At 40.3% G+C, this 14170-nt stretch overlaps 1 protein-coding gene across 2 annotated transcripts in view; it reads right to left on the minus strand.

Annotated features, from left to right (window-relative positions):
• The window catches only part of MTFMT (mitochondrial methionyl-tRNA formyltransferase), a 28128-nt gene continuing 16267 nt past the window's right edge, over positions 2310–14170 (minus strand). For both annotated transcript variants that reach the window (NM_139242.4, XM_005254158.6), the window contains exons 7-9: positions 6911–6989; positions 5652–5734; positions 2310–4054 (exon numbers count right to left, since the gene is read on the minus strand). In NM_139242.4, the coding sequence (NP_640335.2) occupies positions 3860–4054; positions 5652–5734; positions 6911–6989 (357 nt within the window). In that variant the 3' untranslated portion in view covers positions 2310–3859. The remainder of the gene's footprint in view (positions 4055–5651; positions 5735–6910; positions 6990–14170) is intronic.

Raw genomic sequence — 14170 nt, forward strand, 5'->3', positions numbered from 1 at the left:
TTTTGCTCCTGTTGCCCAGGCTGGAGTGCAATGGTGCGATCTTGGCTCACCACAACCTCCACCTCCCGATTCAAGTGATTCTCCTGCCTCAGCCTGTCAAGTAGCTGGGATTACAGGCATGCGCCACCACATCTGGCTAATTTTGTATTTTTAGTAGAGACGGGGTTTCTCCATGTTGGTCAGGCTGGTCTCGAACTCCCGACCTCAGGTGATCTGCCTGCCTTGGCCTCCTACAGTGCTGGGATTACAGACGTGAGCCACCATGCCTGGCCTAAAATCCCCATTTCTTTAAAGTGTTTCAAGTCTATTATTTGCAACCAAGAGCCTAACTTCACACACACAGATTACTGATTTCATCAATTGTGAAGGTTTAAGGGATCTCCTTTGCGATTCCTTCAACTATTCAAGATTCCCCTTGTCGAGGTTGTTACCCTGTTTGAGGGGATGGAAGGGGCAGAATATTGCTTAGGTGTTGCAAGAGGAATCCAACCTTTCCTGGGTCACAACTCTGACGGGAAGCTGTGCCCTCAGTAAGGTTTCCCCAGTCCTGGTGGCAGTGTCTGAGTGGGCACTTCCTTAGATCCCCTGCAGAAATCGTACTCATGAGCTCCTAGACGACACTGATTTCCGTTCTCTCCCAATTCCCTAACATGAGCAGAGTGCCTGGAGGGGATTAAGTGTTCAATACATACAATTGGAAAAACAAGGCACTTTCACAGTCTCTTGTTGATTCTCAAAATTATTTTGGTAGTGTTTTGTTTTCATCATCAGCCTAATTTCACACTTGAGGAAATAAAGTTCAGTGATACTGACTTGTCAGAGATCAAAGAGCTCATCAGTGGTGGAGCTAAAACTCTCCATAAGGATATAATACCCAATAACTCAAATTCCCTCACCCACAAAAATCTTTTCAGTCATCTCCCCTTTATCCTAACCACTGACGTAACTCAGATCTTCACATTCCTTTTCTCTTTTATCCTCAACTTTTAAATTCAGGGTACATGTGTAGGATGTGCAGGTTTTTTACACAGGTAAATGTGTGCCGTGGTGGTTTGCTGCACAGATCATCCCATTACCTAGGTACTAAGCCCAGCATCCCTTATTCTTCCTGATGCTCTCCCTCCCCCCATCCCCATCCCCACTCCCAAGATGCTCCTGTGTGTTGTTCCCCCGCCATGTGTCCATGTGTTCTCATTGTTCAGCACCCACTTATAAGTAAGAACATGCAGTGTTTGATTTTCTGTCCCTGGATTAGTTTGCTGAAGATAATGGCTTCCAGCTCCATCCATGTCCCTGAAGATCACATTTCTAACCTTCCAACGGATCTTCCTGCCCAGGTTTTACCCCCAACCTATCTTCCACACCACCACCAAAGTTAAATTTCCAAAATCTAACTCTGATCACGCCACTCTACTCACAGGCTACTGCATATGAGACAAAGGCCCTAACTCTCATGGTTTTCAAAGTCCTCCATGATCAGGCCTCAGCTTGCTTTTGCAGTCTCATTTCTATCACCAGATTCCACTCATCAATTCTTTTCATCAAAACGCTGGGCTTTCCCCCGGTATTCAACATGCCATTTGTTTCTCTTCCATAATCCATTGTTAGCTTTTTCCCAGCCAGCTCTATAACTAGCTCATACATACAAGGGAATGTATGACAAATTTATGGCTTAAAGAATAATAAAAGAACAATCATGCTCCCACCTAAACATTACCAAACACCCTATAGTGTTCTTTTAAGTCTCTGTGCCTCTGCACATGCTAGAATGTCCTTCCAGGCCTTAGTCTGCATAGTAAACTCATCCTTTGGAAGCTAATTCCATTGACTTCCTCTGGGAAGCCTCCATTGACACCCGTGAGGGACACAATGCTTCCCTTATGCCTCTACTATGGCATTTATAACTATTATATTCGCTTACACATTTGTCTCCCTGGTAGGTTGAAGATGTCAAATATTTGATCTCTGAATCTCTGGTAACCAGTTTGAAGTTCTAGTTACACAGTAAGTGCTCAATACATCAGATGACCACACAACCCAGTTTGCCTGGGAGAGTCCTGGTTTATGTCTGTTGCCCTGGAGTAATTATAAGTGCTTCTTTCACTCATAAAAGCATCCTAACTTAGATGACCAAATCACCCTATCCATAAATGTTGAATTAACAAATGACTTAAAGAATAGAGAAAGACTTTCACTGTCAGAATCTAGGCAGGAAAAGCCAATGTGTGGATTCTGCGGCCACTGTGCCTCCTTCTCCTCCTCCTTCTGACTCTCCTGGAGACAGAGAAGATGAGTTTGCACACACCAGATGCTCAATAACCTTTATTGCACAAGTAAGTTGAAAAATGTTAGCACGTTCCTACTTCAAGAAAACCTGGGCCGGGTGCAGTGGTTCATGCTTGTAATCCCAGCACTTTGAGAGGCCAAGGCAGGAGGATTGCTTGGGCCCAGGAGTTCAAGACCAGCCTAAGCAACATAGTGAGACCCCTATCTCTACAAAATTTTTTTTAAAAACTAAGAAAGAAAATTAGCCAGGCGTGGTGGCCCCACTTTGGGAGGCTGAGGCTGGAGGATCACTTAAGCCCAGGAGGTTGAAGATGCAGTAAGCAGTGTTTCACGCCACTGGACTCCAGACTGTGTGAGAGAGCAAGACCCCATCTCTAAAAAAATTAATAAAAAAAAATAAAATCTGGATGTAAAATGTTAATTTATAGTACAGATCAATGTGGCAGAGATTATTAAATATTACCTACGTTTACTACTTGGTTAAATCTAGCTGGTAGTGAAATGTAAAGAGCTGGATTTACTACTTATAGGAAATAAAAAATGCAGATTCAATACTCCTAAAATGTCAGTGGTGACACGATTTTTAAAAAATTAAATAGATGCACTGTTTTTAAAAAAACCTCTTCTCGGCCAGGCACGGTGGCTCACAGCTGTAATCCCAGCACTTTGGGAGGCCAAGGCGGGTGGATCACGAGGTCAGGAGATCAAGACCATCCTGGCTAACACAGTGAAACCCCATCTCTACTAAAAATACAAAAAAAAAAATTAGCCAGGCATGGTGGCGGACGCCTGTAGTCCCAGCTACTTGGGAGGCTGAGGCAGGAGAATGGTGTGAACCCGGGAGGTGGAGCTTGCAGTGAGCTGACATCACGCCACTGCACTCCAGCCTGGGCCACAGAACAAGACTCCGTCTCAAAAAAATAAAAATAAAAACAAAAAACCTCTTCTCAGTATGTATGTAGGTACATACATACACCAGTTAGGGTTGCCCTTGTTCTTAAGGAAAGATAATCTCCTTGAGTTTCGTATCATAAATACAAGTTTTATTTAAACTTTTTTGTAATTCAAGTAAAAAAAAAGCTGTTTTTTAACTACTGTTACATAAAAAGTGGAAAGTGAGGCAATCCATCTTTTCGGCAATAATCTTCTCTTCTTATAATAATGCCATCTTCTTTGAAAGTCCAGATAATTCCAGGCCAGGCACGGTGGCTCACGTCTGTAATCATAGCACTTTGGGAGGCTGAGGTGGGCAGATCACAAGGTCAGGAGTTCGAGACCAGCCTGACCAACATGGTGAAACCCCATCTCTACTAAAAATACAAAAATTAGCTGCGTGTGGTGGCGTGTGCCTGTAATCCCAGCTACTCAGGAGGCTGAGGCAGGAGAATTGCTTGAACCTGGGAGGCGGAGGTTGCAGTGAGCTGAGATAGTGCCACTGGATTCCAGCCTGGGTGACAGAGTGAGACTCTGTCTCAAAAAAAAAAAAAAAAAAAAAAGTCCAGATAATTCCTTGTAAATAAGGTTTTTAATAAATTACAAATATGTAATAGGTTTTTATCCATCTTCTTCCTAACTACTCAATGCATTGTTGCATAGCAACAGTTTTTTTCTGCTTCTTCTTTGTTGGAAGTCTGAGAGTCTGAAATCTGCATTGGCTTGGTTGAGCTTGGGAATTTTTCTGGTACCAGGGGTGCAAATATCCATTGTAGAAGTCAGTAGCTGTTAGTGATTTCTTGAGCATCACTGATCGAACACCAATCCAACCATCCTAAAGGGCAAAATACAAATAGTGAATAGGCAGGGGTGGCAAAACTAAAAAGCCAAGTAAATATTAGTTTATAAAATTTTTATCATGGAAACAAACAAACCAACAAATCTTTACTAAATGCCTAGCTGCAAACAGCACTACACTAAGTAACATGTAGAATTCCTTGACTCTATTAGGTTGGTGCAAAAGTCATTGCGGTTTTTGACACTGAAATTAAAAGCTTATTACCAAGGAGCGATAACAAATGTATAGATCTGTATAAATATTTAAATACAAAGGGAGCAGAATAAAAGGTATGTAACATGAAATACACATATAGGCCAGGCGTGGTGGCTCACGCCTGTAATCCCAGCACTTTGGGAGGCCGAGGCGGGTGGATCACCTGAGGTCAGGAATTCGTGACCAGCCTGACCAACATGGCGAAACCCCGTCCTTACAAAAATACAAAAATTAGCCAGGCGTGGTGGCGGGTGCCTGTAATCCCAGCTACTTGGAAGACGGAGGCAGGAGAATCGCTTGAACCCAGGAGGTGGAGGTTGCAGTGAGCTGAGATCACACCACTACACTCCAGCCTGGGCAACTCCATCTCAAAAAAAAAAAAAAAAAAAAAGGGAAATACATATATATAGACCCAGAAAAGGACAGCAAGACATATGCATCCAACACTGTTCCAGAATAAGCTGGCGAGAGACAAAGAGAGGTTGATGGAGTTTTGTATTCACAGTCTGTAGGTCAGATCAATCTATCACACATTTTAAACATTTTCTTTTTTTTTTTGAGATGGAGTTTCGCTCTTATTGCCCAGGCTGGAGTGTGATGGCACGATCTCGGCTCACCACAACCTCCGCTTCCCGGGCTCAAGCGATTCTCCTGCCTAAGCCTCCCAAGTAGCTGGGATTACAGGCGTCTGCCACCACGCTCGACTAATTTTTGTACTGTTAGTAAAGACGGGGTTTCTCTATGTTGGTCAGTCTGGTCTCGAATTCCCGACCTCAGGTGATCCACCCGCCTCAGCCTCCCAAAGTGCTGGGATAACATGTGTGAGCCACCTTGCCCGGCTAAACACTCTTAAGTATGAAATATCTCACATGAACACCATATGATGCAAAATACCTAGGAAATGGAAGGAATGTAGAACACTTCTCAGAACACACCATGATCTTATAAAACAATAATGATTCCAAAGTTATTTTAAAAAGTTCAGAAATCTCCTCTTTACTACTGTTAAGCAGTAAAAGCAAGTAGGATATGTGTGTCCTGTAGTAGTTCAGTCAGATATTTTGATATGACTATCTTTTATGTTACCAAGCACAAGAGCTGTTAATTAAATTGGGCTACTGAAAATACACGTGTTCTTTTAAGAAAGCACTCAAGTTACTGAATCTTCTTTCTTTGAGTAATAATAATGCCTTGGCAAAACTTCATCACTTTCAAAAAATTATGCTAGAGACTTCACTATTTCTTAAGAAAATTAAATGATCTCCTGACCCAATCTATGGACAGGCAGTTAAGTGAAGTTCCAACTAAAAATAATAAATGATACAGACTATAACATAGTAAAACAACTATGATAACTTGAAACTAATGAAAAACATACCTTGCAATAAACCAATAGTATTTGTGACTGTTTGTGGTATATTACTGATCCTGGAATAAGAGCCTGTCCCGTTAATTTTGGATCTGAAGAATGGAAAAAAGAAAAGATATACAAGAGAAAAAAGCAATTATGCAACTTCATAGTACTTCTTAAAAATCAAAAAACATCTTGGGAGGCAGTACTGATACCGGAGAGAACACATTTGCTGATGTTGACTTTGTAAACCAAAACTTACAAGGAAACCACAGTGCTCTCTGTACATCAGAAACCCAAAGGAAAGCTTCCCATGCACATACAAAGCTATAATTCCTTTACCCAGTGACCACCTAAAATGCTGAATCTACAAGTTTTGTGTTAGCGCTTTGGTGAAATAACTAGCCAACAGGGGGAAATACATAGGATGTTTAGGATTTAGGCTGGCCCTTTCATCCCTGCCCAAACAAATCCTAATTCCTAGGTTCCTGGGGAACTCCAACTACCTCTAAATTAAACCAGCTTCCTCTGTGGCTCACATTCCTTCTGTCCACCGTATTGGCAGGATGCTGATGGGCCTCAGAATGGACTTGTGGCATGAAGTATGAATACACTCTGGCCTAGATTTTCACTGATTTGCCCAGATATTTTCATTATAATATTCACCAGAATGAAACTAATCGAGTCATTCTGCACTCTCTGAAAACCTTAAGGCAGGAAATCACAGAGCTTAAAATGGGATAGGAACACTGCTTTGCCTACTCCCCAGGGTCCTGTAATGATTTTTTTTTTTTTTTTTTTGAAATGGAGTTTCACTCATTGCCCAGGCTGGAGTGCAGCGGCGCAATCTTGGCTCACTGAAACCTCTGCCTCCCAGGTTCAAGTGACTCTCCTGCCTCAGCCTCCCAAGTAGCTGGGATTACAGGCATGTGCCACCATGCCCAGCTAAATTTTTGTATTTAGTAGAGACGGGGCTTCACCATGTCAGTCAGGCTAGTCTCGAACTCCTGACCTCAGCTGATCCACCCACCTTGGCCTCCCAAAGTGCTGGAATTACAGGCGTGAGCCACCGCGCCTGGCCTGTTCTTGTAATGATTAAATGAGAAAATATATGAGAATGAGTGTTGCAAAGAATAAGACAATAAGTGAATGTAAAGTATTATAATTACTGAACTGAAACAAACTAAAAGTTATTTTTAGTAATTGTGACATATGATAAAACAGACGTATTTCCAGATACACTACAGTGAAAACAGCTTCCATGTTAGCTATTCAAAAGTTAGTACCAGCAAGGACTGAACTGTTAACTTCTACCAAATCCAGAAGTTTAATGGTATTCGCCATCCAGAGCGTCTGCAACGGAATCTGCAAGTAAAATTAAAGAAGGTATGATAAAGGAATACACTCAACTCCCAAACCCTTTTCAACTACTATTTTGTGTTAATCTGGACTTTTCTTTCAATTAGAGGAATTGGGAACTCAGTCACTAAGTTTGATGGAACAGACCGTAAACATGACTCTCTACATCAGTGTTTCCAGGATTTATAAGATCTTTTTTTTTTTTTTTTTGAGACGGAGTCTCGTTGTGTCACCAGGCTGGAGTGCAGTGGCGCGATCTTGGCTCACTGCAAGCTCCGCCTCCCGGGTTCACGCCATTCTCCTGCTTCAGCCTCCCGAGTAGCTGGGACTACAGGCGCCTGCAACCATGCCCGGCTAATTTTTTGTATTTTAAGTAGAGACGGGGTTTCACCATGTTAGCCACGATGGTCTCTATCTCCTGACCTCATGATCCGCCCGCCTTAGCCTCCCAAAGTGCTGGGATTACAGGCGTGAGCCACCGCGCCCGGCCGATTTATAAGATCTTAAATGTTACTTTAAAATCAATGTTTATATCTAATATACTAATATTTCCAATTAAAAATTTATTATCCTTATAAAAAATGCAAGCATTACATTATGTTAAAAAATTTTAGAAAGTGATATTCTGTATTTATTCCCATCCCTATAGGTAACGACTGTTAAGTTTGATGTGCATTTCCCTGTATTTTTTTCTACAAATATTATTATAAAAATCTAGAACACAGTGATAGAGACAGGAGACAGCCAAATGCCACCCAGGTCATTATGCACAGTGGGCTTGACTCAACATGTCCATGGTGAAAAGTTCTGTCCCTTAACACATGCACAGTAAAGGAAATAAATCAAGGTGGCGTGGCTCAGACTAAGGGCCCGCATGAGCACTGGAAGAATGGGGGTGGAGCCACCAGGAATTTCTGCCTTATGCAGGGGAAGAGCCTGGCCTCTTCAGCTCCTGTGTGGTGGCCTGGTATTCAATCTGTGAGGTGGGAGCCTGTTGGCAGGACCCCCTCTTTTTTTGCTGAGAGCTTTCTTTTAATAAATTCCACTCTCCTCACCTTTCAATGTGTCCACGTGCCTAATTTTTCCTGGTTGTGAGACAAGAACCCAGATTTTAGCTGAGTTAAGGAGCAAAAAGTCCTGCATCAATACTGTTTTACAAGGACTTTTGTTATGTGACCATAAAGCATTGATGTTTCATCAGTACATACTTATCAATTTCACTCTATCTGCTGCACAGTAACCCATTTTATGAATATGTAATTTATGCAACTACCTTTATGATAGATATTTGTTATTTTCAATTTATTGCTATTTATAACACTATAAACTAGGGTAATAACCTTGTCGATATATCTTTGAGGGCTTACACATTTCTGGATAATAGTTTTGGGGTTTTTTGTTTTTAAAGTGGAATGCGTGGGTTAAACAGCATCAACATTTTATTGCTAAACTGCCTGGATAAGTGAGAAAAAAATATGATAATCTCTTGCTGTTTATTATTAGCGAAGCTGAGAAGCTGTCCATATATTTATGTGCACTTTTAATTTATTTATCTGTAACCTGCCTATTTATGCCCTTTGGTTATATTTTTTAAAACTGGGATGGTTATCTCATTAATTTGCAAAAATATTTTCTATATTTAGGAAATTAGCCTTTTAACTCTTACATGTGTTGTGAATATTTTCCTCAGTTTGTTGACTTTTAATCTTGGGGACAGCCATTTTTTCCATGCATAAGTTTTTTATTTTCATAATTATATTTCTAAGTCTTTTCTCTCATTACTTTGGTGGTTCGTATCATACTTAAAAAGGCCTACCCCACACTTTAAGATTATTAAATATTGTCAAATTATTCAGTTGTGCTTTTTTATAGTCCTTGTGATTTTACTTTTTATATTTAAATCCTTGATCCATCTATATTTTGATTTTTTTATTATGGTAAAAAACACATAAGAAAAATGTGCTCAATTAACAAATTGTAAGTATACCATACAGTATTGTTAACTACATATGCATTGTTATAATATAGCACTTACTATGATTTTAAAAGATAGGATTTGAGGGCTTCCCCCACCAATGGTTGGCCAGTTATCCCAATACTATTTACTAGATAATCCATCTTACCCTTCCCTCCAGTATGAAATACCACCTTTATCATGTAACACATTTCCAACATACCTGAGATCCTACAGCCTGATTTAAATGTTAATAAAATTTAACACACACCAGGAAATAAGTTCTCTAAAATTTCTGAATTGAATGCATTTATTTCCAGACTGTAGTTCAATCCTCTATTTCATACATGAAGAGAGTGAGGCTCAGAGAAATGCAGCTATTTTCCCAAGGTTGGACCCAGCTAGTTAGTAGCAAAGCCAGGACTGGCTTCTGTTTTCTGATTCTCAGTGCAGTGCTCTTTTTATGACACCCCTTAAAGAGGGTATTTAACTTTCAGAAGAGTTAGGTTGTTGTAATAATTTGAACATTAAATCAAATAAGTAAATGAATTTGAAGAACAAGTTCATAACTGTATCTATGTCATAGCCTCTTCTATAACTTGCTAGCTCACTTTTCTTTTGCCCGCTTCAATAAAAGTTCTGAAACGATTTTCATATGTGCAATTTTTTTCTTTTAAATAACTCAAAATATTTTTGAAACATGCTTACTGACTAAAAAAGATTTCTATTTACTGAGAGTAATAAACATGCTAGGTACATACTCAGAATATAGTCTTGTTCTTCGGGAGGTAAAGCTCACCTTATCATCAGAGCATTGTAGAAAGGAAAGGGATGGTAAGAATATAATCATTTTGGTGTCTGCCATCATTACTGCCAAAATAGTATGTTTGCATGAATTTACATTCACCTAGTTCATTTCCTTTGATCTTGCCAGTTGTGTACATGGTCATTAATCCCACTTTAGAGGTAAAAAAAGCAGAAGCTCAAAGACAAGGGCCTTCCTCTCATTAGTAAAGGGCAACTCTAGGAACCAAACCCCACCTTCTGGCTCAGTCTTTTATAGCACAAAGCTTTTCTCCATGTACAGGGAAGATAAACCGCAGAGGGTAAGAATCATCATGTAGTAAGTTATAGGTGCCAAGAGATTTCAAGCTACTGGCCTAAATTGCATCTCAGGAAGTTGTCTACTTGATATCTCCATATGAACGTCTTCTAACTTAATATATGTCAAACTTAACATGGCCAAAACTATTGATTTCTCTTCCCAAATGTTCCTCCCCAGACATCCTCATCTCAATTAAATGGTTCCACTATTCACCCAGTTTCTCAAGCCAAAAATCTATGAATGATCCTAATTTATCTATCTCTAATTTCCCAGATTCCATCAGCAAATTCCGCTGACTCTATCTCCAAGCATAGTCTGGATGTCCACTTCTTTTTATCCACCATTATCATTGTTCCAAACTGCCATCATCTGTCATCTGGCTACAGTCGCAGCAGCTTCTTTTTATTTTTTTAATTTTTTTTTTTAAAGACCGGATCTTGCTCTGTCATCCAGGCTGGAAGTGCAGTGGTGGAATCACAGCTCACTGCAGCCTCAACCTCCCAGGGTCAAGTGATCCTCCTACCTCAGCCTCCCGAGTAGCTGGGACTACAGGTGCATCCCACAATACCTAGCTAATTTTTGTATATTTTGTAGAGACAGGGTTTCACCATGTTGCCCAGACTGGTCTGGAACTCCAGGGCTCAAGCGATTCACTCTTCTTGGCCTCCCAAAGTGCTGGTATTACAGGTGTGAGCCACCACACCCAACCAATTCCCTAACTGACCTCCACTCCACTCTCTAGCAGCAGCCAGGGCAACCTTTTAAGAATGTACATACCTAATCCCATTACTCCCCTGCCGTGGCCCTCTGATGTCAATCCTACTCAATCTTGCTTCTCCCCTCACCTTAGCTACTCTCCATCTTGCCAGCTATGCTCCAGCCACACCAGCCTCATTTCTGTCCCTCAAACATGTCCAACTCTTTTCCATCTTGGGTTGTTTTTTTGTTTTGTTTTGTTTTTTGACAGCTTTATTGAGATGTAATTCACATACCAGAAAATTCACCCTTTTGAAGCTTCCAAGTCAGTGGTTTTTAGTAGACTCAGGGTCATTCAACCAATGTCACTCGTTTTTTTCTTGCCTAATTTTTAGAACATTTTCATTACCTCTCTCTCCCAGAAAAAACGCCATCCATTATCAGAAAATTCCCATTATCCTCTCTCCTCCAGCCTATGGATTTGCCTATTTTGGACATTTCATATAAATGGAATAATAACATATGTAGTCTGTTGTGACAGGGTTTTTTCACTTAGCATATTTTTCAGGTTCATCCATGTCATAAGCATGTGATTATGGTTATGGCTGAGTATTAATAATATTCCACCGTATGGCTATATACCACATTTTTTTAACGCATCCCTCAGTTGGATATTTGGGTTGTTTTCACTTTTTGGCCATTCTGAATAATGCTGCTATGAAGATTCGGGTACACATTTTTGTGTGAGCACAATGTTTCCAATTCTCTTGAGTATAAACCTAGGAAAGGAAATGCTGGGTCATAAGATACTTCTGTGTTTCACTTTTTGAGGAACTGCCAAACTGTTTTCCACACAGGTTGCACCATTTTTAAGAGGTAAACATGGTACCATGAATGTATGAAGTTTCCAAATTTCTCCACATCCTTGCCAACACTAGTTTTTGTCTGTTTTTTGAATTATAGCCATCCTAATGGGTGTGAAGTGGTATCTCATTGTGGTTCTGATTTGCATATCCCTAAAGACAGATGAAGTTGCTGATCTTTTATATGCTTACTGGCCATTCATATTATGTATCTGCTTGAAACAAATGTCTACTCAGGGCCAGGGCAGTGGCTCATGCCTGTAATCCCAGCACTTAGGGAGGCTGAGGCAGGTGGATCACCTGAGGATAGGAGTTCGAGACCAGCCAGGTCAACATGGTGAAACCCCGTCTCTACTAAAAGTACAAAAATTAGCCGGGCGTGGTGGCGCTTGCCTATAATCCCAGCTACTAGGGAGGCTGAGGCAGGAGAATCGCTTGAATCCAGGAGGCAGAGGTTGCAATGAGCCAAGGTCGCACCATTGCACTCCAGCCTGGGCAACAAGAGCAAGACTCCATCTCAAAAACAAACAAAAAAGAAATGTTTACTCAGAATTTTTGGCCATTTTTAATTGGGTTATTTGTCGTTTTACTGCTGAGTCATTGTAAGAATTCTTTACTCTGGATATTAGGCCCTTATCAGTTATATGATTTGCAAATATTCCCTCCCATTCTGTAAGCTGTCTTTTTTTTTTTTTTTTTTTTTTTTTTTTGAGACAGGGTCTCACTTTGTCACCCAGGATGAAACACAGTAGTGCAATCACAGCTCACTGCAGCCTCGACCTCCCTGGCTCAAGTGCATCCTCCCATTCCAGCCTCCCAAGTAGCTAGGACCACAGGTGTGCACCATGATGCCCAGCTAATTTTTTACTTTTTGTAATGATGGGGACTCACTACATTGCCCAGTCTGGTCTCAAATTCTTGGGTTCAAGCAGTCCTCCTGTCTCAGCCTCCCAAAGTGCTGGGATTATAGGCATGAGCCACCATGCCTGGCCTACCTGTCTTTTTTACTTTGTTGATAGTGTCCTTTGAAGCACAACTATTTTTAATTTTGATGAAGTCCAATTTCTCTATTTTTAGTCTGATTGCTTATGCTTCATGGCATCATAGCTAAGAAACCACTGCCTAATTCAATGTCATGAATATTTACACCTATATTTTCTTCTAAGAGTTTTCTAGTTTTAGCTATTCATTTAGCTTCTTTAACTTTTACATATGATGTGACATAGGGTCCAAATTCATTCTTTTGATTGTGGACATCCAGTTATCCCAGCTCCATTTATTGAGAATACTATTCTTTCTCCATTGGATTGTCTTGGCACTCTTGTCAAAAAAAAAAAAAAAAAAAAAAAAAAAAAAGGTGGGTGGGAGGGGAGAGGGATAGCATTAGGAGATATACCTCATGTAAATGATGAGTTAATGGGTACAGCACACCAACATGGCACATGTATACATATGTAACAAACCTGCACATTGTGCACATGTACCCTAGAACTTAAAGTATAATAATAATAATAATAATAAAAAGAACTATCTTTTGGGAACTACCTTTAGAAAAAAAAATCAATTGACCATAAATGTATGGGTTTATTTCTAGACTTTTAAAAAAATTTGAGACAGAGTCTCACTCTGTCACCCAGGCTGGAGTGCAGTGGTGTGATCTCAGGTCACTGCAACCTCCACCTCCCAGGTTCAAGTGATTCTCGTGCCTTAGCCTCCTGAGTAGCTGGGACTACAAGCGTGCACCACCATATCTGGCTAATTTTTGTAAATATTTTTAGTAGAGATGAGGTTTCACCATGTTGGCCAGGCTGGTCTCAAACTCCTGACCTCAAGTGATCCACCTGCCTCAGCCTCCCAAAGTGCTGGGACTACAGGCATAAGCCATCATGCCTGGCTTATTTCTAGACCCTTAATTCGATTCTAATGAGCTATAGCCAGTACCACACTATCTTGGTTACTGTAGTTTTACAGCAAGTTTTGAAACTGAAAACTATGAGTCCTCCAATTTTGTTAGTTTTGGCTATTCTGGGCCCCTTGCAATTCTGTATACATTTTAGGAGCAGCTTGTCAATTTGTACAAAGAAGCCAATTGGGATTTTTTTTTTAGGAATTGTGTTGAATCTGTACATCAACTTGGGGAGTAGAGACATCTTAACAATACTAAGTTTATCCAATCAATGAATACTGGGGTCTTTCCATTTACTTGGGTCTTCTTTACTGTTTATTAGCTCTAATAGTTTTTTTTGGAACTTCTTCATGATTTTCTATATGCTAGATCATATCATCCACAAATAGAGACAGCTTTACTTCTTCCTTTCCAAACTTTTGTTTGGTTGCCTTTTGTTTCTTTTTTCTTGTCTAACTGCCCCAACAGAACAAAGTTGAATAGAAGACATTTAACTTTGAGAGCGCAGACATCTTTATCTTCTTTGTGATCTTAAGGGAAAGGCTTTGTCTTTCTTTTATTTTCTTTCTTTCTTCTTCTTTTTTTTTTAAGAGACAAAGTCTGGCTATATTGTCCAGGCTGGTCTCGAACTCCTGGCCTCAAGCAATCCTCCCGCTCAGCCTC

Source organism: Homo sapiens, chromosome 15 (assembly GCF_000001405.40).
Source record: "Homo sapiens chromosome 15, GRCh38.p14 Primary Assembly".
Classification (NCBI taxonomy): Eukaryota; Metazoa; Chordata; class Mammalia; order Primates; family Hominidae; genus Homo; species Homo sapiens.